The 27,228-nt window shown below is 40.4% G+C and overlaps 1 protein-coding gene across 12 annotated transcripts in view; it reads left to right on the top strand.

The window, feature by feature from the left end:
• The window catches only part of PPARGC1A (PPARG coactivator 1 alpha), a 680,885-nt gene that overhangs the window by 209,008 nt on the left and 444,649 nt on the right, over positions 1–27,228 (top strand). For 8 of the 12 annotated variants that reach the window (NR_148986.2, NR_148981.2, NR_148987.2 and 5 more), the window contains exon 2: positions 5,631–5,695. The exons of 3 other annotated variants lie outside the window; for them this stretch is intronic. Coding sequence is in view for 2 of the 9 variants with exons in the window: in NM_001330752.2 (NP_001317681.1) it covers positions 5,678–5,695 (18 nt within the window). In the remaining 7 variants the exon portion in view is untranslated. Of the gene's footprint in view, positions 1–5,587; positions 5,696–27,228 lie in introns of those variants that run through there. One more of the 12 variants, XM_047449546.1, reaches the window with a different exon arrangement.

Below are 27,228 nucleotides of genomic sequence, written 5' to 3'. Positions count from 1 at the left end.
CACACATGTAATCCCAGCTACTCAGGAGGCTGAGGTGGGAGGATCCCTTGATTCCTGGAGGTCGAGGCTGCAGTGAGCTAAGATGGCACCACTGCACTCCAGCCTGGGTGACAGAGTGAGACCCTGTCTCAAAAAAATAAAAATCATAAGGAAGAGAAAATATCTTTACTATTCATTAAGTGGAAGTGGATCATCATAAAGGTGTTCATCCTCATCATCTTCACATTGGGTGGACTGAGGAGGAGGAAGAGGAGAGGTTGGTCTTGCTGTCTCAGGTACGGCAGAAGTGGAGATGGACAAGGTGGAAGGGGAGGCAGGAGAGACGGGCACACTTGGTATAACTTTTATTGAAAAAGACCTCTGTATAAGTGGATCCATGCAGTTCAAATCTGTGCTGTTAAAGGGTCAACTCTGTGTGTGTGTGTGTGTGTGTGTGTGTGTATACACCCACATGTGTGTATACATATGTCATTTTTCTTGAATCCACTACAGGGCCTAAAACACAGTAGGAACTTGATGAATATTTATTGATGTGAAATGGGAAATAAACTCTGCATGAAATATGACAACTGTCCATGCACTCTCGCATCTCTTCTGCTTTGTTTTATCACCATTGGACATATCGATAGTGTTTATTTGTTTTACATTTACTTGTTTATTTGCTTACAGGGTGTCTCCCCACATTTGGGCTTGAACTTTTTTGGGGGAAAGGTCTTACGTCACTTGTTTACTACTGTGAACCTACAGTAAGTGCTCAGTACATATTTAGAAAAAGAGTAAATGGTTAGATTCAAGTTTTCTACCATGACTTCTCTTTTCCAAAATTTCCTCACATTGTTTTCTGTACTTGTTGACTCTTCTCTTTCAGGAGTAGTTAAAATCTACGTAGGACTGTTAAGTAAAGGAAGCCCAAATCTCAGCTATTCCAGTGTAGCAGATATTGAAGCGCTCTGTGTTAATGTGCATGGAGCCGTCTGCAAGGCAGAGCCAGCTACCAAGTCTGATGTACAGGAAGTTGTACAGCCCTGAGGACAGTGTGGACAGTCACCACTTCATGCTTTTTACCACAGCCATCGCTTGCCCAGCACAAATCTCTTCTGTAGAAATCCCAAGTTAAAAAAAAAAACCAGGGAGCAGCTATCCTTTCATCCACTAAAACCACATCCTGCTGGGCTGCTTAACTTGAGAAGTAAAGGCATTTCAATATAATTAATCTCCTTTGCAATCTTTTATAAACCATTCTTGGAAGGGGTCCATAGATTTCATCAGATAGCCAAAGGGGTCTGGAAAGGTTACAGACCCCTGAAAAGCCCTGACTAATAAATGGACTGGGTGGAATATTTTCACTGGTGCATAGGTAAGAGCAAAGGATTGAAAAATGGTTTCCTTTACTCTTTGAAGTTAAAAAAATTGATGTGTTCGTTTCATGTTTTCCTTTGCCTTTTTCACTCCTTGTGTGTGGTGGGTACTGTCAGAGCCTCACCCCCCAGCCCCACACCTTCATGGTGGAAGTGCTTCTGATATTCTGCAGTTTGGGAAGGCAGGTGAAGTCCACTCCTTGGGCAGGGCCACTTTCACTTCTGCGGAACCTCCAGAATGAGCACAGGACCCGGTGTGGAATGCAAAGTGTAGTTGAAAGGCATTCTGCCAAAATGTTTTCTGAGGACAGGTAGAGATTGAAGCACACCCAGCCCTGATTGGATTACCACGGGCCCAGAAGCACTTTATCCTCCACTGCTGCTACTAGGGGTGGGAAGGGAGTTATGGGGCGGGGGGTGCGTGGTGACTTGGTGGGGGTTGGGAGGGCAGGTCTTAGGCATGCATCTCCTGGCTTTGAGACTGCCGCTGGGAATATTAAACTGCTTGCCCCAGAGATAACAGTGAGGGATTCCTAAGTATGGGTCTGTTGATAACTTACCTTTCATTTGGATTATGTTGTATAAAATCTTTGTCAAAACAGGCTTTTAGCACACACAGCTTGGTGGAGGCAGATTGTGCATCTGTATCTGATTGTATTCAGAGAATAAACTGAAGCTTTAAAAAGGGATACACTTTCATAATGGCTGTGTGTTGGAGGTGGGGAGGTGGAGGAAAAAAAATTGACATGCTGGATCTTTAAGTAAGAAGGGGCCCTTTAATAGTCAGAAATAGGCAAATAGGAGAAAGGAACGGAAGAAAGCATGAATGAAATAAAATAACCAGAAATATATTACAATTCACAAAAGTGGTGTTTACTCAATTACATTCTCGTGACTAATGTGAAAATAGCTGAAAAAATTAAAAGCTCTTCCTAGGAACACATTTATTTTGTTGGACCACACAGAATAAAGCAAATCATAATTGGCTGTGATGAATTACATCCAAAGTGAAAAATGGAAATAAAGCAGGTAGTCTGCCTGCAGGGGACCTAGAGTTCCTATAGAAAGAGAAAGTGTCCTGTAACCAGAGATGGGTATCTTGGTTCCAAGGGAAACCAGATGACGCAGGAGGAGGAGGAGAAGGGCAGGGAGCGGTCCTGAGGATTCAGAAGTGTGTGTGGGTCTGGAGAGGTCAGAGGCTCTGAAGATTGAGCCATTTGCTCTGTAGGCTGAGGGAGAAGGAGTGCCAGGGCAGGGATTCAAGAATGTGGTCCAAGGGGAGGGAGAGATAGATTTGCCTGGCATTGGCATTTTTGATGGATTGTAGTGATGAGACATGAAGGCTAGAAAATGGAAGGCAGAAAGAGGAACAATGGAAACATTCTCTATTACCCAGAGACTCTCCCAGTAGGGTGGAAAGGGGTGGGGTGATGTGGTGTGCTGATTTCTGTGATCTTCATGAAAACAGGCCAGCGAAACTGACAAGGAAGCAAGCATAGAGCTGGTTGGAATAGGAATACCCATGTCTTCCTATTTACGTGGGATGTATGAACCCATGTGCACACAAGTAACTGGCAAAACTTATTGGGGAAGCGTCAAGGTGGAAATTCACAGCTGTTATTTTTGTGGCCTCTAGCTACAAGGGCTAACAGGTGAAGATAGTCTGGAGACCCAAACTGGGAAAATAAATGACATTTTAACATTTTGTCAGGTAGGCAATTTAAAAATAAACTTGGATTCAATATAATACCATTAATGCTAGAGGTTCTGTTATATCAGTGCAAAAATGCCATCTTTTTCATAGCAGTTAAAAAAAAAAAGACATGTTGTAGGGGGTGAGGAACCATGTATAGGAGAGGCATATGTGATTGTGACAGCAGCCCCACAAAGCTATTGAAAACATACCACGACTCTGCCCTCCAGAATTAACACCATAACTTATGTCAGGGACTCACTATTATCCTCATATCAGCTCTTGGATCCTGTCCAGTCCCATTAGCGATTCCCATGTTGATTGCTCTGTTACTCGTGAATGTTAATTGCTTCTAAATCTCTTTGGATGTTCAGATGCTCGGGGAAAAAATTCTGACTGGCGAAGGTGTGAGTTTTATTAATGTGCAAGTAAACAAGAAATCTGTTTAGAGACCCAAGTGGAGTGTCTGTGACTCAAGATGCCATAAACAGCTGATGTGGCATCTTTCTTTGCATGTCTGTCATATGTTGGTGGTGTGAGAGTGAGGATGGGGGAACAGGGTTTCAGTGATCACTGTGTTGTGTGTCCAAAATCGGTGTGCTTGTAGACGTAGACAGACATGCACATTCTTGCCTCCGGCATTCCTACTTTGCTTAGTATGAAATGATGACCTTGCTACCTTTGAGAGAAGCTTATACTTAGTAAGTGCTATTAAATCAGAAAATGTAAAAACATGAATATAATTTGGCCTATCACCTAGTTTCTGAACTAGAAGGAACTTCGGAAATTAGCTTCTTAAGCTTTATTTTACTCTTGAGAAACAAAGGCCTAGGGAGAGGAGAAGGTAAGGGCTCACAGCAGAGCTGGCCAAGAAGCCAGGTCACCCAACTCGCACCCTGGTACTCAAGATAACAGAAAATGATAACAACAGGTGTTTATTATATTTTCTAGGAGCATTTCACTGAGTCTTTGTGGAGTTTTAATTTTTTCCTTTGGGTGGAAAAAATCTATGATGATTCAGTATTGAAATTCATTTATTAGTAATTATAACAGTATCTCAGCAAGAGTAAAAAGATAGAAAAAAGGAAGAGCACCTAGTTTAATGCTGTGATTCATGAATTCAATCGATATTCGTGGAGTGCCTTCACACTAGAATTTAGCAGCACATAAAAAAATTCCCTGTATATACTATTGCTCCCAGGTTACAAACCTGTAGGCTAGGATGTAACTGTACTAAATACTTTAGGCAATTGTAACACAATGGTAAGTATTTGTATCTAAACATAGAAAAGTTACAGTATAAATATGATATCGCTGTATTATATTGTTATGGGACCACCTCATATATGTGGTTGGTTGTTGGCTGAAATGTCGTTCTGTGGCATGTGAATGTATTTTAAATAGGATGGTCAGGGAGACATCACTGAGCAGGTATTTAAGCAGAGATCTGATGAAAGGGAAGGAGTAAGCCATAGAAATACTGCAACAATATTGGCCCAAGCAAAAAGTTCCTGAGGTGGGAATGTGCTTGCGTATTTGAGGATGAGTGAAGGGGTCAGTGCTGTTGCAGAGGTGCGTAAGGAGAAGACAGTGAGAGATTGTGACCCTCACATCATCGGCTTTGGGAAAACTCAGGGCCAGTCATTTTAAGGAGACCCATCTTTTAGTATTTCTGTAATCCCAAATAGTATGGCTCATACACAGAACCCAAACTCATCCTTTTTTTGGAATATTTTCTGAAGGTGCCATCTTTCTGGGATTGGTGTCTATGACTTGCCAGGAATGTCTAGAAACTATCAGATCTTTCTGTAGAGCTTTTGATTAGAGTGGTTGTCATAGTAATAAAATTATCGAACCATAGGATTGTAAGTTTCTTGATGGTAGGACCTATGTCATATACATTTTTGTGTCCTCCAAGAAGCCACACACAGTTCTAAACTTACACATAGTAAGAACTCAATAAATACTGATTATTTTTTCAATGCATGAATAAATGGTCTGAGAGTGGTAGAAAGGATGGGATGTCCTAGAAAGGACTGTTAAAAATACACCCTTCTAAAAATGTTGTTAACGAAATTACTTCTGAAGTATTCTGACTTCCTTGCAATCTTTTTAAAAGACAAGTCCATATGCTGAAATGTGAACATAAGTATATAACAAACTGAACAGTAGTAACATTATTTTCAGGCCAAATTTTAGTTGGATGGTTGCATTTTGTCAATCTAATTTTTTCTTCCATGTTTTAAAATGGATATGGGAATTTTTCCAATCTTATCTCTAGTATTAAAAGAATATTGGTGTCTGGGCTCATAAAAACAAGGAGTTGCAACTCATCACTGTCTTACTCTAAAATGTGTTTAATATGTTAAGATTGTGGTGAAAATGACATAGGAAATATCAGTCCCCTTGGGAAAGATGGGTAGTCAAGATGCATTGTGATGGGGAAGGCCAAAATGGTAATTCTTGTTCTCCCATTACTGAATTCTCACCATAATGGACGAATAATTTAAAACCTTATTGCCTTTCAGTATCCCCATCTGCAAAGTGGGGGTAACACAAACTTACCCTCTGCCTTTCAGGTTTTTTGCGAAAATCAGTGAACTAATATTGGTAAAATTGGAGCCCCATGGATGAAGGGTACTTTGTAAGTATAATACATTATTGTCATGTTATTTTCTGTTATTCTGAAGTGCAAATACCAAATGTCTGCTCTTGCCATATCAGGAAATCTGTAACACCAAGTTTCACACCCAGATATTGATAATCTGACTTCTTTGAGGCATTTAATGTTTCTGAACTCTAATGTTTTGACAATATGTCAGATGTTGAAAAGCCACCTCCGCCTGCCACCCTCCATAAATATAAATTCAAACAATGCTTACTAGATAATTTGGACTAAATATGTCTGTATATTATTATATGTAAAAATGTTTATATGAACCATGGATATAAATATAAGGTGTCTTTATTTCTCTTCTCTCAACTCTCTCTTCCTTTCTTTTAAAATTGTATTTAACTTGTGTTTTGAGCAGTCACTTTATGTCTCAAAGAAATGGTTGATTTCAGGGAGAGAATGAATGTTTCCATGAGGTGAATGATATTTTGTTAAGGATGAAAGTTGATTAGACAGTTTGCTAATTATTGTGTTTGCAGACATGGGGCAGGGGGAGGAGGCCAACCAGAATGGTGAGCTAAGTGTGGATCACCCCTTCTTAACCAGGTTACAGTCCAGGGGAACCTGGGAATTGCTTCCTACCCATGCAATGGCAAAGGCTGCAAAAGGGCAGGAGGAGACTGTGCAATCCCAAAGCAACTGCTTTGGTAGATTTTCTCCATTGAATTGGTGCATCTTTTTATTTTGCCAGGACAACCAATGCCCTGGAATAGTTTGTGCTACCATAGATTGGCCAGCTACATGCCCAGTGCTTAACCCATGGTTTGACATTTTTTCTCTTTTAAAAGGTGGCTGTCACCCTTTAAAATCGATCATAGAGAAATTTAAGATTAGGACTGCTTATTGAAGCTTATTTTAGTGAGTAATCCTTGGATTCATGCAGCTGTAGGATCTAAGTCTGCAAGGGTCTTATATGTCTCATCTAGCCCTATTTGTTGGCCAGTTCTAAGGGTTCCACCTGACTGGAGCCTGAGAACCTCTAGAGGCAGAAAGTCTACAACCTAAAAAGGCAACTCTGACAGTTAGAGAATTCCTTCTCAAGTTAAACATAAATCCAACCTCGATGTATCTCTGCCTTGGGTTCTACTTGTCCTATTCATCCCTACAATGAACAAGTGTTCCTCTTACAAAATGACACATTTCAAATATTTAGTAACACTTACTGCATCTCCCTACAGTGGTCTTTTTGTCACCTTCAGTTCTTTCAACAACTAGAGCTCATTTCCATGATTTCCAAAACTCTTTACCCCTCTGGAAAAGTTCTTATCTGTCTATATCTTTCTTAACAAGCAGCACTGAGAATCTATCTTCTCCAGGCCCCATTCTGCATCTCAGAGTCCAGAGATCTAATCAAAGTTTCGGAAGACAATGACCTCTGAAGAAATCGTCTGGAATCACGTGTGCCCATGGATTGGTTTGAGTAACAAGACAGCAAAGCCCACATCCCCCTGTGAGGTGCAGACGATTGACAGGAAGAAAGTTGTTTTGGTTAATAATACAATCTGCTTGCCTCCTGTAGACACAGCAGTAGCCTACTAATTCGTTAGAAGTGAATTAAGGTTGTTTACCCATGTTTTAAAGTAACTGTCAGAGTGAAAAAAATTTGTACTAAATGAGACCACTCACCTACTTCGGAGTTGCTGTTTATTTTAAGCTGAGTGCATAAATAATATATTGAGATACGAAGGGTGATTTCAAGCATTAGAACACGAAGTCTCCTGTTTACTAACTGTCATTGGGCTGAAGAGAATTTAAACAGCTCTGAACCTTTTTGTCTGCGAATGCGAGGCATGAAATTAACTTTCATTTCATAGTTAGCAGAAATCATGATGAAGGCAGACTTGTTGACATGTCTCCTGCCGATCTGGATCTTTTTTGGTATGCAAGACAAACCTTGGCAACAGAGTGCTTTCCATGTCTCCTTTGAAACAAGACTCCCTCCCTTCCCCACAAAATAAGTAGGGAAATGTCTGGGTCACTGAGTCAGTTTGTTCTGGATAAAAAGAGGAATAGTGGAAATATGTACTAGTCTAGTTCCAGTCTTGACTGCTGGCAACCTTCTCTGAATCTTACTTTCTTCATCTGTAAAATGGAAATAATAGCATCTACTTCCACTGCTTCACAGGAAGATGGTGAGATCCCAATGAGGTAATTGAGGGGAGATGACTTTGAAAGGCATCAGGTGTCATATGTGGGCAGGACAAGTCAAGATAACAACAGTTAATGCTATTAAGGCTGTCTTCTCAAGGATTTACATGTATTAACTCATTCACCCAACAACCCTATGGGATAGGTACTATTATTATCCCAATTTTATCACTACAAAAACAGAAGCACAGGGCAGTGGAGCGACTTGCTCCATCATCTGATAGCTTAAAGTTTGCAAAACTGATATCCAAATACCAGGCAATTGGGTCCAGGGTTTGTTTTCCTAACTCTTACTTATTTGGGAGAAGAAGCGAGGTTTCCACCTATATGATTATGCCTCTTGATCATGCACAAGTAAATGAAACATCATTCCTAAAAGCCTGGGCCAAATTTACGTTGAGAAAATACAGGTATAGCTTCTCATCAGCAAGGAGGGTTCCCACTGGGTAGGTATGTAGCAGACTGTATGGATTTATTATGTTTTATGTGTGAAGAGCCTGGTGATTCTTAGATGGAAAGCCGTAAGTAAAAAGACCTATTACTTGCAATGCTTTCAGAAACAAGAAATTTGATTCACTTTTTGTCCCCTTAAACTTGAAAATGTGATAGCCTATTTCAGAATATAGGGAGAGTGTTAGAGAATGAATAGAAAATGTATGGAATGTTTAATTTTGCATGATTACATTTCATATTTGCCAAAGTAACTGAGGCAAATAGAAATGCATAATAGTATCACAGCATTACCTATTTGAGGTGTTTTGATGGAATACTCAGGTTTTACAGTCTGATACATGAACTCTTTGGGATAAATCCTTATTAAGCAAATGAACAAGAATGTATTTGTGTTTGCATCATTGAAAATATGTAATTTGTACAACTGCTCTTTAAATGTATATTTACACTATATTTATTTGAATTTCAAAAGAGGAAAGAGTCTTAAGTGATTAATGGGAACAAGAATGATGTGAATTTGCAGACATTTTCCCCTGAAATATGCTCAGTCTTTACAAGGATCATACTTAAAAATTGGAGTGGCAAGAGTGGGGGTGCTGACTTGCTTTGGATTTCTGAATGAAGCATTCCAAAAATAGGATCATTTCCATAATCCCTGAAAAATGGACAGATTTATGAGAAGTAATCAGCTGAGGGAAAGAATAAATTCTGCTCTTCCAAATTGTAAAAATCTCAGCAATTGCTGCTGTGCTCTAGCACTTGTTAATACAATGAGATAATTGCATAATTAAATACACTATGGAATTTCAATAATTGGAAACTTTATGTTCTCATCACAATATGCAGCTTGCTGATGTTGAAAAGCATCAGCAGTGTTATCCCGAGGCCAGGATCCTTCTTTCACGTCACGCCCTCTGCAGCCTTCTGCAGCTCCTGTTGTGGTTCTGAAACACCTCCCTTTCAGGTTATTTTTAGTTGGTTGTATTTAGACAAGGTGAAATTAAGCAGGATGTCCCCCAAATTCTGACTTATCTGCCCAGGCCATGGAAGTTGAGGATCATTTTGCTAAAAGTGTCCCTGGTGCTATCTAGATCTTTCTATGTAGTAATGGTTGAACAGCAACCTGAAGAAAAGAGCTTTATGGAACTGGGGAGTGCCTCTCTGGGTTGGTAAATGTGAGATTGCTTTGTGGAGCCTCTGAAAAGACAGGCTCCAGAGCTGGGCTACTTGGGTTCAAACCTGGTGTGGCCTCTTTCTGTATTTCTGGAAAAGGTACCCAATATCTCACATATTTTCTTACCTGTCAAAGGAGAATCTTAGCACCTATGTCTTCATGTTGCTGCAAGGCATAACTGAGGTAACATATGGAAAGAACTTAGAAGATACCAGGCAGTTCGTAACCATCCAGTAAATGTTAGCTATGTTATCAGGCAATCCAGGGAAAAGTTTCACGTTCATCTGAATGTGACAAATCTTTGAGTAAGAACAAATAAGTAGACTTATGGTTTTGCTCATTCAAGAAATATTTATTGAATACATGATGACGATGATGATAAAAATAATATTATTAAATCAGTGTTTGGCAGATAGTAAGATATTTGAGCAGGAACTGGTCCATCATTGGTATCCCCAGCATCTAACACACCCATGAATACATACAGGATAGCTACTTAACATAGCGTGGATTCCATACATGCTTGGAGAATAAATGAGTGAATGAATGCATGGATAAAATTGGTTGTAACCTTCTTCTTTTTAGGAGTTAGAAGAATTTACTATGGTCTGTTTGAGAACATAGATGCAATTTGCTTTTGTTGAACACTAGGGCTGGCACTAGGCAAGTGAGGTGTGTATGGTGACAAACGTAAAGAGGCACTCGCTCTCAGCGTCCCACAAGTGCTTCCTTAAATTTTGTGTCCTAGATGTCTCACTTTTGTCTCCATGGCCCAGGCCCTGTTGAATGTGTTAATCTTACATGTATGACTATGCTTGATTTCTACCTGTGTTTGAAATTCCCCCTCAATTTTATTTTGAAAAATTTCAAAGCTACGGAAAAGTTGAAAGAATAGTACAAGAAACACTCTGCATACCTTTTACTTATGATCATCAATAGCTAATACTTTGCCACATTTACTATATCTCTTTCTGTATATATGAATTCAAACTTTGTCCTAATTCACTATAGAAATCATGTTGTAACCTCGATACAACATTCTCATTCCCTTGCCTCTAGTGCTCATAACGTTAAATAGGCTTCCTAAATTCTTAGTCTCAAAATTATGAATTTGGAAGAAAAAGAACAAAAAGAGCAGTAAAAGAACTTTGCTTAAATTTGTTTTTCAAGTTTTAAAACTGCTGCTTGAACCTTGTTTTTAGACTATTAACATACTAACCTATTTAGAATACCCTCAATATAAAATGACCAAAATCTTAAAGGTTAGAAAGTTTTCCTGCATGCTCTCACACCTTCTTTTGCAGAGGAGAGACTTTTTAAAAAAGATAAATTCCCTTGACCATTATTTTTCTGAGATCCTTTCAAAAGTAAATGGGAGTCCAATTACAAATACAATGAGATCATCGTTTTCCAAGTTAGGAATATTCACTGTAAGGGGTGATTTTGCAAATATAATATAGAGGCTATATTATAAATTTGGATATGTCCTCAAATAGAAAGAACTACACACTTGATTTTGGGCTACACTGACAAACTTACAAGGAAAAAAAAATTTCTGATAATCTGAAATGTTTCTAAAAAATAAGGTATCTGTCCTACAAAACGATGATAACATTTGACAGAAGGTTGTATTATTTCAGTGGTATTAGGAATGTTCTCTATGGAAGCCCAGGGAATCTGAGGAGGGGCCTCAGGGCCATCACAGGGGGTGGAGATGGGAGTTAGGGGAACGAGAAGAGCATTGGAAATCCAGGCCACTCACTCATATTCCATTGGAATAGCTCTGAAATGATGTGCTTTATATTGGGCATCTGTCTAAGAATCAGTTTTCATGAAAGTGTTCTAAAGCTAAAAAGAAATAGTTTGGAAACCATAGCATTAGTGAGTAGAAGAGAAATAGGAAACATTTATCCAGCAATCTTGGTTGGCAGTGAGAAGTGAAAGCTGTCAACTCAAAGGGTGGGAGAGGTCAGAAAAACCACGAAAGGCAGAAACACAACTGAAAAGCTATCTGGGAGTAGCAAGCAGGATCAAACACCCATACATACCCTAAGGCCGTGGTTCCTAAACTCCAGTGATTCCTGGTCCTTAACCCAGACATTCTGATTCAGTAGATCTGGGGAGGGGCTCAGGAGTCTGGTTTTTTAATTGTCACCCTAGGCTGCACAGAAAAAATTGCCCTCAAGTCATGTTTACATCATAGAACATTACCATATTTGGTGTTGATAAAGATGACCAGAGGTGTAAAGAAAATATTAAATTCAGTTTCATAGAATGTAACCCTTTTTCAAATTCAGGGAAATTTTAGAATGATTTCCTTCCAAAATGCTTAAAATAGAAAGTTATCTCGAATAACAGGGGGAAAAGACAGACAATAGTAATAAAGTATTATTAGTAATAATATTAGTAATGATATTAGTAATAAAGTACTATTAGTAATATAGTAATAAAAGACAGACAAATGTAATAGTCACATTACAGTGTGGGTTTACTAAGTCTGATAAGAGAGGTACACACCAAGGGAGCCGAGAGGGTGCTCCTGTCTGGTTGGACACTGTAATGAACTCTTGGAAGAGAGAGCTTCCTAGTGGTACTGCGTGGCTTAATGGGATATTCACAGGCTGTGGAGTCAGACAGGCCTGGGTTTGAATCATGACTCTCCTGTTGTAGAATCTCAGAAAAATGACCTAATCTTTTTAAGCTGGGTCTTCTTCATAAAGTCCAAATAAAGACTAAATTAGATGATGTGTGAAAAGTACTGAGCACAGGGCAGTAAGATGATAGATGCTCAAGTGGCTGTCATTAAAATAAATGTCTGTGATTATATTTATTTAAGAAGGACCTTCAGATAGGCAGGCTTTCAGGAAGAGTGGGATAACAGTGTGTTTATTAGTTTTGGTTTAGGCAGGAAAAGGGAGGCAAAAGAGTACCCCGAAAAAGCGGGACAGCATAACCAAACCTTGAGGTAAGGGATGATTTATGCTTTTGTGCATAGTTCAGTGTTTCCAAAGTGTTGTTCGTGTAGAAGATTCTAGATCATACAAGTATTTTACAAATATTAACTAATGTAATCTTCATAGTGACTCTATGAAGTAGGTATTGTTTATTTAACAGAAGGCTAAGGCACAGAGAAGTTAAGTAACTTGCGCAAGATCACACAGCTAGTAGTGGCACAGCCAGGATTTGAACACATTCAGCATCTGTATTGCTAATAACTATGCTAGGCTATTTTAATAATAATGACTTATGCTAATTAGTGTGTACTAGGAAGCTATAACTAGCACAGGAAAACAATGATTTTTACAGATATTGTTGCCCAGAATAACAGTAAAGTTTTAAAAAGTAACTTGATTTAAAATAAATCATATACAATGAATAATAGTGGTCATATCATGAAATGTGACAAAAATCCTGTAGGTGTTCCCCAGATGAGTTTGGCCTGGGAAGTTCTGGGACAGTGGAAGACAGTGGCAAGGATAGATTGGGGCTACCATGGGAGACTACTGCCTCCAAATAATTGTTGTGTGAAACAACAAGAAATCCTGTACATTCTGAGGGAGAAGCCAGTAGGTGTATTGTAGGGTAGGAGGCTTACAGAAGGAAAGACTGTAGCTTGATGAGTGAGTTCTCTCCCATTTCCTGCATTCTATTGCAAAGGGGCAAAAACCTCCCCTTGACCTGACCTGGACTTCTGAATGGCCAGCCTGAGACCTGTGCTATTTGGAAGTTATTTAGTTTTTTCCTCCTCCTCTTTCTCCATCCCTTCTCCTTCCTCTTCCTTCTTTTCTCTTCTTTTGCCTCTTCCCACCTCCTTCTTTTTATTGTGCATGAGGACAGATTTCAAAGAGTGCATGCCCCCAAAATGCAAATGCCTGTTGCAAATCAATGGGAAAAAGAGTTTAATACTGTAGATGGCATTTTAATTTACCTTCAGTTTTTCAGGATGACACCTGTGTATCTCTCCTGTATCTCTCCTTGGATATGGTCAGAAAAACCTAAAAGCTCAGATAATCCTAAGCCAATCCATGCTTAGGCTTTTAAATTTGCAGATTTACCTTCCTATCAACTTATTTGAAGCTAACATTAAGATGAGTTTGCCTTCCCTGAGCAAATGAGCACAGGTGTTAGTCCAGAAATTGCAGGAAACCAGAATGTAACCAGCCACACCGGGCAAGGAATGGTGTGATAATTACAGAGTTCCTCGAGCCTGGGTGTGGCGTGCCTGCCCTGCAGGCTCTACATCTGCAGTGTTCTGCCCATGTTACACCTGGTCCTCATATCTAGAGACAACCAGTCTCCTTATCTAGTCCTGCCCATTTCCACTGTCTCATCCTGAGGACGAGCATCATACTCTATTCTTTTTGCCTCTCTGTTCCCACCGTTTAGTGCTGTCCTTGACATAGGGTGTGCATTCAATAAATGAACTTCTGCCCGTTGGTTAATGAGTGATATCAATAATTGCATACTTCTCTATGTAGATTATGGTTTAAGGAATATGTATTGAGCACTTACTATGGGCTAGGTATTGTGCTAGGGGCTTTTGTACTATTTGAATCTTACAGCAACCCCCTTCACCTGTCATCAATGGGGAAATTGAGGCTTAGGGACGTAGTATAGTTTAACCAAAGTCACACACACTTGGCTCGGCATGATTCAAGCCCAGATATCCCCACGTTCAGACTCAGTTCTCTGATTTCTTTATGTCATGTTTCCCTGCCTTGCAAAAACATTGAGTGAGTTTCTCCTCCCACTGTTAACCTGGGGTTTCCTCCCAACCGATTCCCCGGGATCTCACTCTCAACCCTCAAGTTGAAGGAAAGTTCCTCCTTCTCTGACTGTAAACAGAGAATTCTGTCTTCATGGCGCGAGACCCTGAGTGTCATCAAATGCCACTGCCCACAGTGAGTCCAGGAACGGAAGCCGCTTTTGGAGTTTCCAGCAGGGGCTGGCTGTGAAACAACCACGGGCAAGGCCTGTGTATGTGTCCTGAACGCGGCCTCACAGATTAAAATAGTCGTCACGGTGACCAGAAAATTGGATTGGTTAAACCTTCTGGTTTTAGATTGTTTTTGGAGAGTGAATAACTCTATGATTTTTACTTGTCACAGGCTAAAATGAAAAAAAAAAGTAGGAGTGCAACTTCATAGCTATTTTTCTTTCCTGTATGTTCATAGTGGTTATTTATATCTGGGAAGTTTCCACTGGGATTTAGTTCAGGATATAGACTTGGCAGGGTGGCTTCTGCACTCTGTGGTGACATTTGACAGACTGCAGGCAAAGCAGGATGGATTTCTCATGTCTAGATGGAAGGATCTGAGGGCAAAGTGTTGGGATTGGACTGTATTATAAAATGGATTTATGGATCTGAATCCAAAAGTGGCTCATTGCCTGTCAATATGAGATCTGTATCAATAACGTTTGATAAATTAGGCCTCCCGACCCTTTGCTCTGTTTGCTTTATCAACTCTACTCGGCAATAACAATAAAAGACTCCAGGTGGTGTATTTGGAGTGGCTTACTGAGCTTGCCATGTGCATTCCTGACCTTAGGGCCCAGCTCTGTGATCCTGCACATGTTATAACCCCCAGAAGGGCACTGCTGTGCCTGACTTCCTCCCCAGAATTAGACGTTCCCCTGCTAAGCTGCATTTCAATATCAGCCTCATGCATTAACCTTGAAACGCTGTGCCCATGATGTAGGTAGCGTCTTCATTTTCCAGATGAAGAAATTAAGACACTGAGAGGTTAAATGAGCTGCCCAAGGCCACACAGTAAATCTCGAATACAGCTGGGTTCCAGATAAAGGTGTCATGGTCGCTGGGGGAGGGTATGACACTTTCGTTCTCTGTAGTTACAGACTAAAAGGAGCTGAATTTGCACAAAGCTTGCTGATAATACACTTTTTTTTTTCCAGAGGTGGTGTGTCTGCTGTCTTATCTCCAACTCTTGGGGGAAGCAGTCCATGTCCCTGTGTAAGAAATACAGGGTTCTCACGCCTGTAATCCCAGCATTTTGGGAGTCCGAGGTGGGCAGATCACGAGGTCAGGAGATCGAGACCATCCTGGCTAACACGGTGAAACTCCGTCTCTACTAAAAATGCAAAACAATTAGCCGGGCGTGGTGGCGGGCGCCTGTAGTCCCAGCTACTTCGGAGGCTGAGGCAGGAGAATGGCGTGAACCCGGGAGGCGGAGCTTGCAGTGAGCCGAGATAACGCCACTGCACTCCAGCCTGGGCGACAGAGCGAGACTCCATTTCAAAAAAAAGAAAAAAGAAAAAAGAGAAAGAAATACAGGGTTCTCTTGGGTTTTGGCAGATAATATGCTTTGTTTAGTCTTTGCAGCCGCAGACCAAGGGTGAAGACTTTCTTCATCCCATAAATGCTGGCCTTTATGGAATGGTTCTTATAATGCCACAGATATCTTTTGGAAAGGGAAGGGAAACTCTGTGCCCAGCCAGATCGATATTAGGTGGGGGAAAGCAGGGCAGTGGGGACGCTGTTGACAGAAACAGAAGACCAGTTCTTCCCCCAAAAGTGCTTACATTTTAGTTGGTGGGAATGAGTGAATGCCAATTTGTATCACCAAATCTCTTCATTTGTGGGCTGTAGAACTCTATGGTAGGTGAAATGGGCCCTGCAACTCCATTCACAGGCTCACAGCTGCAGCACAATAATAACGAATGATTGCAATGTGCCAAATCCACACACTGCATACACTTACCCAGCCAATCCTGGCAACTACCTCGAGTGTGTTTCACAAAAGTCTTTGGAATTGGCAATATGTGTGTGCGCCACTTGGGGTTGAGATATAATTCTTAGTGTATAGCTGATCTCTTTGGCGTAAATTATGCTGCTCTTTTCCTTTTGAGTGTCTTCTGAAATTTTGAATTAAAATTCTCTTTACTCTATCATCATAATGATGATAAGCTGGAATAGAAAACCAAAGGGATAATTATCTGGTGAAATATAGCAAAACATTTACGAACCGGAAGTAAACGGAGTTTTATCATATTATCTGGAGCAAACTTTTTTTGAAAAAAAATTTGTGGCTGAAAATTTAAAGTATATCATGGAAGCATACTGATATTTCTAGTTTCTTGCCTTAGCATAGATGATACAATGAGGATAACTCAATTTCCCCTTTTGTAGAGCCTCAGGGGGTTATCATTCCAAAGACCAGACTTTTTTCTTTTTGGGGGGTGGTGGGTCGAGAGGATGTAGGGCATTAGAGAACTGATGATTTTTAGCTTGAAATTTTTGATAATAGTTTATTTCAAATACAGTGAGTTGAGGAGCACAGTTTTCACAATCTCACTCTCTTTCTTCTGCACCCAATCCATATGCTCCAAGACTCAAGGAAGAAAGACAATTTTACCTGAAAATACTGTTGGAAGTGTAGATCTCCCCAGAGAGTCAGATCTAATTGGTTTGGCGTGGCTCTAGCAATCTTTGCTTTTGATAAGCACACTGTGCTTTCCTAGCAAGCACCCAACATGTGTATTGCAATCTTCATTTCTTACAGGCTGGATTCTGTGGCTCACACTTTGAGAAACCATGTCAGAGGCAGAAAAGCAGGCTCTAGAGCAGGTTCCCCATGGAGCAGGAGAAGGAGTTTGTGTTTAGAAGAACCCAGCTCCCGGAAGATGGTTCCGTGGGTGACGTGGTGGTGACTTTTAGTCAATGACCAACTAGTGTTACAATCTCACAGAAAATTTAAACCTTACATCTTACCCCAAATTTGTTTACAAATATTTATTTATTTAATTAAATTCATTAATTTATTTTTGACAGGGTCTGGCTGTGTCACGCAGGCTGGAGTGCAGTGGTTTCATGACAGCTCACTATAGCCTTGAACCTTCCAGGCTTAAGCGATCCTCCCATCTCAGCCTCCTGAGTAGCTGGGGCTACAGATAGGCACCACCACGCCCGGCTAATTTTTGTAGAGAGGGGGTTTCACCATGTTGCCCAAGCTGGTCTTGAACTCCTGGGCTCCAGTGCTCCGCCTGACTCAGCCTCCAAAAGTGCTGGGATTGTAGGTGTTTCCCCAGGCACAAACATTTATTGAAGACATTTCTTTGGGATCCCAGGATCTGAATGAGAAACAGCACAATATGAATTACAGGGAAATGCATTTATTGTGAGAGCTGTTTTTTTATAGTAGGAAGAATTTATTTCATGCCAATAATATATTATTTGATTGATATTATTGAATTATAGGAAATATATGAATATTATTTGATTGATCTTAACAGATTACAGGAAATCTATGAGACAAAAACACCAGAAAATGATTACATTAGAATTATCCATCTAGCCATTTGTGTACCAGAAAAACAAGCATTATTTAAAATCGTTGCTGATTCTGTCAAATGGAGAAATTATTCATAGAGAGCATTTTCATTACTTTCAAAACAACAACAGTACTAGGACCAAGCATAAGTGTGTGTGTGTGTGTGTGTGTGTGTGTGTGTGTGCACATGGCTTTCAGGTACATATCAGCAAACAAACCATGTACTAATAATAAAACAACAAATAGCAGCAATTTAATTAAGCACTATTTATGTCAAAGTATCTGAATAGGGATATGATTACAAAATTATATGTAAAAATTTGAGGCAAAGAGGAGATATTTTTCTTTTCTTGTATTCAACTCCACATTCTGCCATTGTCTAGCAGCTGTATTTTGAGCTGCCAAGCTGGGTCTTGACTTGGTCCAAACCTTTTCTGAGAGAATAGTCTATGCAAGCTGGCAGGTTGTCAAGCTGTGTGTGGTCCTCGTACCAGCAAATGAGTAAATCAGAGTTATAAGTTGCAAATGTGCCTCAAATTAACTTCTGCATAGTAGGGAATGAACTTGGCATCATTTAAAGTCCGGCTCAGTGACAGCCTTCTCTCACAGCAGCTTAATCAAAAAGATGATGGAAAATTGAGGCATGGTGGGCCTCGAAGCTTCCACAGGGTGTGAACTCAGTGTACTGTGCTTGAAATGTCACATTCTGAGAGGTCCTGGAATTGCCAGGCTCGGTGTCATATTGCGCTGTGGGCTCTGTTCACATGATGCAAGCACTTGCTTATCTGACCAGGCCTAAAATAAGACGCTCCAATGCTTTATTTATGAGCTTGGGGCCACACAGGCCCATGATGTAAGTAACCTTGGGGTACACAGTATTTGATCACTTCAATTCCCATTAACTACCTGTTTCTAAATGGGGAAAAGCATTTACCCAGCACATTGCGTTATTCATGAAGACACAAAAGCAGCCTGTTGTGCTGTCACTGGGACTGATTTCCATGTAATGCGATCCAGCTGTTGAACACTGCAGATTGTCAGTTTCTAATGTTAGTTTTCTCCTTCTCTCTTCCTCTTTTTTTTCTTTTTCTTCTTCCTCGCCTGTTCTTTCTCCATCCTTCTTTTTTTCTCCATTCTTAAAAAGAACATTGGCCAGTTCTAGACACTGTTAGCCTGAAACTGTATATCAAGGAGTTATGAGCTGTTCCCCTTTTCAATATAGAAGGTCACAAGTTGGCAGCAGAGAACCCGTTTTACATAATGCTGAGATAATTTAGTGCAGTGTTTCTTGACTACGGTTCTATTAATGTTTTGGACCTGATAGTTCTTTGTTGTGGGGGCTGTCTGTGAATTGTAGGATGTTTGGGGCATCCTCTATTCACTAGATGCTGGTAGCACCTATCCATTTATGATAACCAAAGATGCCTGTAGACATTCTCAAATGTGCTCTGGGAAGCCATGTTGTCCCTGGTTGATTTAGTGTGACAGCTTGCTGGGTCTTTGTTAATGAAAAATCTCTGTGACTCTCCTTGAGACTGTACACATGTGGTTATTAGATGTGGATTGGGAGGCAGAGAACATGGGTTTGAATCCTGGTTCCAACACTTATTGTCTGTGTGACTTTGGGCAAGGTAGTTAGCCTTTCTAAGCCTTAACCTCTTCACCTATTAAGAAGGCTTAATACATAACTTAAAAGGTAACTGAACACCAGTGAACTAATATGTCCAAAGGATATGTCACATGATACATGCTCAAAAATTGACAATCCGACCATAAGATCTAATATATGAAATATTATAATTGTCAACTTTAACATGTAGAGAAATAAAAGGCAGTTCTGTGCACCCCTGTAATCATGTGTTGCTCAATTCTGCTTTTGTCCTTCTTTTCTTTCCCTGTACTTCTACCCCTGGTCATTCTTATATTTGAGGAATAGATTAATTATGGCCAAGGACATGAGACTGGGAGATTGGAAAGAGAAATGGTGAGGGGCCTGGAAGAGAAAAGTTTCCTGGTGGGATTATTCTATTAGGAAGCCCCAAGGGAGGTGTGGACAATTCATTTAGTTTATTGAATGTGAAAATATAGAAAGATTGTAAAAACAAAGAAACCCTCAACACGCCATTAATCTGAACCCTACTCTTCACTCAACAGATGCCAAATCTATCCTGTGTCTTTTGCTTTAGGAGAAAGTAGAATCACTTTCCTTATTCAGGAATGAGGGTGACAAATGTTAAGTCTGTTTTCTTAGGAAACAGCTGAGAAAACAGTCAAAATGATTCCATGTGACTAGCACAATTTTCTGCCTGGCTCGTCAAAGTCTGAGTCTCTTTTGAGCTGTATCTAAATCTAGAAATAAGGGCCAGGCTAAGGAGGAAGGAGTAGCCATCAGACAGCTGGTTAAAGCTATTATCTTTGACATCTCTCTTTCAGCCTTCACACCTATATTGTACAGAGCCTCTCAAGTCTGCTACCTGCCAGCAATTAAGAAAACCTTGGCAAAAACCCTACTCTTTCTATTTGCCATGACACTCTCCTTTCTGAGGGTGTTGCAATTTCATTCATTTCTGCAGGTCTCTTTTCCTTACATCCATCCTCTTTCTAGTCTTTTCTAGTTGCACCACAGCACGCGAGGGTAGGAAAGGAAATGAATGATCATCAAGTTCATTGACTGAATTACTTCTGGACCATTCCTGATGCATTCCATATGTCTTCTCCTTAGATGATTTCAGAGATGGGGAGTTCACTGTTATGTGAGGTGGGATGCTCTGCTTCTGACCCACAGTCTCTAATATCTGCACCTAATATTCTTCCAATAAGTGCATGATGAGGATCCACTTTGTGCTGGGTTCCAAATATTAATAATAATAATAAAATATAGCTTCTGCACTCAAGGAGTGAATTATGGTCATGATGATATGTTGAGTGGATGTAAATTATTCATTTACTCCTTCATGAGCAGTTCTGGTGAACCAGGTACTTTGCTGGGGGCTAGGGATACAATGGAGCAAGGATGCCATCCCTACCCTTGTGGAAATTGCAGTATAATGGAAGAGAAAGACATGAGTCAGAAATTCACCTTAATTAAATATAATTGCAATGAGGAAAAGGGGCATGGTTCTGAGTACATATAACCATAAAATTTGACTCCAGCTGAGTGGAAAAAGGGGATGGAGAAAGGTTTCCCCAATAAACAGACTGTTTTCTCTGAGTTGTGAAGGGTGATTGGGAACTGATGGGGTTCTGAGGCTGGGAGGGATGGTGAGGGGCTGGCATCCCCGTCAGGAAGATGGAATTGCTGTGACAGGAGTGAGCTTGGGGACTCTGGGAGTGATGGGAGCCAGCAGGACTGGAGTCCTGAGAGCAGAGGTTGAAGAACTCAGCAGGGTTTCAGGGGCTGTAGATTTTGGTCTTTATCTTAACATCAAGGCTATCGAGACTTTAAGAATTGTTTAGGGGGTGAAGATGACATACGTGGTCATGGTTGGCTATGGGACAGATAGATCAGTAGAGGGAGAAGACAACCTAGGATAAATGTCATGTGAGCACTGAGGATAGAGCCACAAACTCTGCCGCTGAGGTCACAGCAGACTTTATGGAGATCGTGACATCTGAGTCCTTATGAAGTAAGGGAGGGCATCTTCCAAGCCAGCAAGTGAGGGAAGGTGTTCCAGGTAGGAAAACTGCAGCTACAGAGATAAGCAGGCCTGAAGACTCATAGGAATATTCCAGAACACATCAAGTTATCTGTCATGGACTAGAGCACAGGGCCAGTGCTGGGGGTGGGCGTCAGGACGAGGCTGTAGCCAGCTGGCCTAGAGCCCTATAGACCACACCAGGCGTGTTGGGCTCTGTCCTGAAGATGAGGCTCTGAAGGGAGCCTTGAGTGGGAAAAGTGAGAGCCTCAGGTGGAGGTTTAGAACTGTCACTCGGCTGTGGTGTGGAGGTGGAAACTGGAGGCTGGAACATCCAGTGTAAGGTCATGTTGCAGTCAGTGTGAGGGGTAAAGAGATCTCTCATCAGGGCAGCAGTAGTGGGCTGGAGTTATTAAGCAGGAGAGAATCAATAGAATCTAGTGTTGGGTTCTAGCAGGGCACAGCACTCTGATTATTGCCTCCCTAATAGCTGGAGAAATGCTGGCTAATGTTAACATGAATCTGTACAAAATGTGGCTTGGAAGAAAACTTGACAGCGGAGCAAAACGACAGGGATAAAATATTCAACCACATACAGAAGCCACAATGAGTTTCTCCCATGTTATCTGCTGTTTTGGATTGTTCATGCACCTGTTCATTTTCTTTGTCAAAAGCAGAGTACTATTTATAAAACACTGTTTCCCCCCTCCCGAAACATCTGGATGTTTGGAGTTGCACAGATAAAACATCTGGATTTAGGCCTGAAATTTTTGCTTATTCTCGCAGATGTTTGGCGTCCCATTGACAAAACTGGTGGGTCTTCCTGAAGAGCCATCTCATAAAAGTAGGTGCTAAACAAGGCGTGAGCCTGCAGATGCATTTTAATGGGTATAAGAATGGAAAACCCCCACATTAAGAGCCTATAAGATAAAACACATTGTGAGTCCAAAGGGATTGAAACATTTTTCTGGTTGACCAATAAGGATGCAAAATAATATGTCTGTGCTTGCAAGAAGCATTTTATTTTTCAGATGAATATTTGCTTGGAACAACTGGGGGAAGGGGAGGCCAGGGAAGATTAAAATGTTACCCCTGTCTTCCAGCTGAGTTCAAGTCTATTGTTTAACTTGGCTGCCAGAAAAGAGCTAGACACCCTGAAAGTTCAAGTTCATTCTTTCCTAAATAGCCTTTTTTTCTTTTACAAAAGTATTTTCTAAGCTTTTTGTTTGTTTGTTTTGCTTTTTACTAAACTTTTGTGATATTTTGTAAAAGAGTGATCCACAAGGAATTTGGGCAATTATTTAACTATAGAAAGTATACACAAACTTTAGAAAAGTAAAGCTACATTATAAAATCCAGGGCAGGAGAGACATGCTTAAAAGAATGGGTGAATTGTGTTAGCAAATTGAGAGTGAACTGTCTTGACCATTCCTACAGCTGGAGGTGGGTTAGTTTGCTTTCTCTGTCTTCCTGCCACCCCTCAGCAGCAGAGTTTCTCTTGTATCCTCAAATATTTTGTATCTTTGGATGAGAGGGGGATGTGACTGTCTCAGGTCATGCCACCAATGATCTCAGAGTTCAGTGAGGCTGCTTGGATGGACTGGGGAGAGGCTCTTCTCCCTCCCTGCCTCTAGGGTGTACCCAACTTAGACCCTGGCTCTGCTGAAAAGCTACTTACCCCTGCCAGATAGAGAACAGCCTTAGGGCCAAGGGTATATCTGACTAGCTACATTCCTCTGCTAGAACTACCTCTGTTTGAACTACTGTCAAGGCAAAATTGCTTTATATCCCAATTTTGATGATATTAGCAAATACATGTAATGGGAAATAAAATTAATCAGTTTGTGCTTGTGAAATTGCCTCCTGTTTACCTCAGCCTTGTAGCGATTTTTCCCCCTCCTACAGGGGTTATTTTAATTAACAGCGTGAATTTTTGGTAGTTTAATTTATTTTATGATTGTGTAAAAATACTCCTTTGTAAGGGTTTATATATAACTAGCCAGCTAATTAGCAGTAATATTTTAACAACAGCTGTAGAAGCAGGGAGTCCCATGAAACATGGCTTCTCCCTTCAGACTGCCAAGATATTTATTGGTGCCTTTTCTTATCAGCTCTGGCTGAAGGCAACAAAGGAGGGTAGTGTGAGCATCAGATAATTAAAAGAGAAGTAAGCATTCAAGTCCTCCTCTCACCTGACACCCAGAACTTCCTAAGGACTTCTGTGTCTCTATGCCTCTGATTTAAGACTCCATCTCTTTGGCTTCTAGTTCTTCCAAAGTCTATTATATATTCCTTGTGAGCCTTAATATAAGACATACCTTTCCAGAAAATTATGGGTAGTCTTTTAAGGGCATTAATTTAAACTAATAGCAGTCACCAGCATTTGTACTACACTTTCCATTTATACAAAGCATTTTTGACATAGAGCAAAGTACACCTTGCATTCTTTTAATTTACTTGAATTCAAGTGGAAAAACTGAGGAGAGAGCTGAGGTGCCTGGGGTGGGAGAGCGGGTGGGAGAGATCAGAGACACAGAGACATGGAGAGTCAGAGAGAGAATAAGCGAGACAGGTAGAAGAAACTCCTCTTTCTATAGCCAACACAAACCCACCCGTTCCCTTCCAATCCCCCATCTTCTTCCTGACCTGGCATTTATTTTGCTGCATTGGCATTGGGTTTGAGAGAGTGCACACTCATTAACCACCCTGAGTGAGATTCTAGTGTGCAAAGAAAAGTGGTTTATTTTTCATACCATATATATACACTTTTTTTTTCTACCCAAAACAAGCCAACTACTTACTCTGGAGCTCAGCATGAATTCTGCCTATGCACTATTTTCCCCTGACATGTGTAGATTTTAGATTCTACCTCCTGCATAAGTTTGTGATCCTCATTACCCTGTGAGAGTGGATATTCCTAGCCCTGTCTTATATCCCTAATCTCATTTTATAGATAGAGACACAAAGGGTTAGAAAAGTCAAATGACTTGTACAAGATCACGCAGGAAGCTAGTGGTAGAGAGACAACTGGAACTACACCAGCCCTCAGATGCCTGTGATTTTGGTTTGTTTCCTTAAAGCATGCTTGGGAAGCTTCTCTTTATTTTCCAAGAGAGGGGAGACCATTCTTTCCTGTGAACCCACTGAGTTTTGCCTTGTTTATAGCACACTTGCAGTTTTCTTGTCATGGTTTATTTGCATGCTTATTTCCTTCATGGACCATCAGCTCCTCAAGAGAGCAGACTTTCCTTGTGCCTGCCTAGCTTGGTACCTGATCCATAGTAGATGCTCAATAAATAACTATTGAGTGGATGAAAAAAATTAGACTAAGTTGAACCTGACTTTCCAGTGCAAGCTTCTGTGTAGTAAGAAACCTAAATTTCTGATTCATTGCTTGATATCCAACTTATTATACTAATAGTTGTGTCTAAAAATGCTATATGTGCTGTGGTAGCAAAGTGCCTGAAAGATAGCAATGGCTTATATATTAACCATTATTATTTCCCCATCTTTAGTAAATATCTATAGGAAACAGAATGTAAAAATTCCCAAAGAATGTCTCAAGCAGGAAAATATAGGGAATCGGTAATCAGATACACTTAGCATGTTCATGTGGGTACACACCTACATGTAATCTCATACACTTAGCACTTAGCATGTGGATATGGGTACATGCCTACACACACACACACACACACACACACACACACACACACACACACACACACATATACAACCTTGGATTGATAGGATTCACTTAACAGATCTTCTGGAGAGGTAAAATGCCCAAGGAGAGGTGGATAGGTAAAATGTTCTTGAGAAGCCTTTTTGTACATTTGATCACTCCAGTGACCAATATAATAACTTACGTTTGTAGAGCATCATACATTTCACATACAGGAGTGCTGCAATGCTGTTGAGATCAGTGGCTTAATTTAATAGATGCTGTGTGTCCAGGACTTTAACATGGGGTGTCAATATCTGACACAGAGGAGGCTGAGTGATCTCATTTGGCTTTCAGCATAACTCCGTGAGTGGCTACTCTTATTGTCTGTATTTGGCAAATAAGATACTCTAAGAAGTTAATGACCTTGTTGCAAGTTCTCTAGCTAATCAGTGATAGAGCCAGGAGTCAACCCACCAAAGCCTATGCTTTATTTTATTTATTGTAAAATAACATCACTAACAATGCATTTACATGTGTGGATAGGTAATAACTAAGTATAAAGGCAGTTCATGGTAGTACTGAGAGGGTGATACTGTGTGTAGTGGTTAGAGATGAGGCTCTGGAATTAGGTAAATTACAAAACTTGGCAGAGTCAAGCTCTGAGCCCAGGTTACAGAACCTTACCTCTAACCACTACACACAGTAGGCTCTATAACTTGGGCTCAAAACATGACTGCCGCTTATTATCTGTGTGACTTTTATCAAGTTACCTAACCTCTCTGTGTGTCGATTTCCTCATCCACGTGGAAGCTATATTAGCACTTATCTATCTCATGACATCTTGAGGATTATGGGAGATGATGCCATTGGCTGAGTGCCGGGCACATCACCAAGGCTCAGTGATAGCTTCCTAAGTGGGTGGCAAGTCCTGAGTTCTGTCGCTATGGCAGTGTCATCTTCCTGGGTCACCCTATCTTCATTCGAAAAATGACAGGCTAGAAGATGTGATCTATAAGGCCCCTTCCGCCTATAAAGTTGTTGCCTCTAGCATAGTTTTGCAGTGTCTTATGGATAATGTGAGCCCCCTCAGTATTTCTGAAACGTTTTCATTCTCTGTTGAAGAGAGAAAATAGTAACATGAAGTGGGTAGAGAGAGAGGAGAAAAGAGGAATTATAAGAGCATCAGTAGGGGATGGATGAAGGACTGGGTGTCATATGACAAGTAGCTAAATTGGCCATTACGGGTATCGAACTCCATTTGGTGTGTAATAGTAGGTGAGCACTTGGCCATATGAAACTCATATCTATATATCAACTTTCCCTAAACACCATCTCAACTAATGAGCACTGAATGAGGAATGGAGATTTGGTTGGGCAGAGATAACAGCAGAAAATATGAGAAATATAAGTACAATACTGTAATTAAAGGAAAACCACTGTGACTTATGACCTCCATCTCAATTCCTTTATTCTTTCTTTTCCTGTCAAGCAGCATAAAGCAAGAACTCTTATGGAAAGTAGACAGAGGAAGCAACATTTCTTTAAAAAATCTAAAAAAAAAAAAATCCAATCTCGGAATTACTATTGATGGGGAAACAATGAAGTGTTAGATAATTCTGAGATTCCCACTGCAAGAAAACAATAATTATATTTTGTATTTTATTATAATAATAGGTTCTGGGCTAAATGTACAAATCTAATAAAACCATAGTACCAAGCTACAAAAGGCTTCATGAATTGGAAATGGAGTGAATTTACATGTTTTTGGCACCTGCCACCCAATTCCCCAATAATAAGATCTATAATTTCCTGCTAAGCACATGCACAACTCTTGTGAATGTAGCTCTATAAAAGGGCCAAAGACTGTTTTCAGTGCGCATGTTAATTTCTTATTGGCCTTCCAGTCCCGCTTCTTCATGTCTAACCTTTTAGCCATTTAAATGCATTGAAAGTATTGAGACAGACTTTTGTAACTTTTAAGGGGATTTTCGAACATATAAGTAGCTGTACAAGACCAGAAAAATGGTGAGTCATCCTGGGCTTATTTAAGAGTGTTTCAAAAACACTAGGTGTCATTTGTACACATTTAAAGAACACTGTGTGTTTGCAGATGGGGCAGGATATGTGAGTATGTGTTT

This window comes from Homo sapiens, chromosome 4, assembly GCF_000001405.40.
Source record: "Homo sapiens chromosome 4, GRCh38.p14 Primary Assembly".
Taxonomy (NCBI): Eukaryota; Metazoa; Chordata; class Mammalia; order Primates; family Hominidae; genus Homo; species Homo sapiens.
Note: the sequence above shows the minus strand (reverse complement) of the source record. Positions and strands in the feature narration are given on the sequence as shown.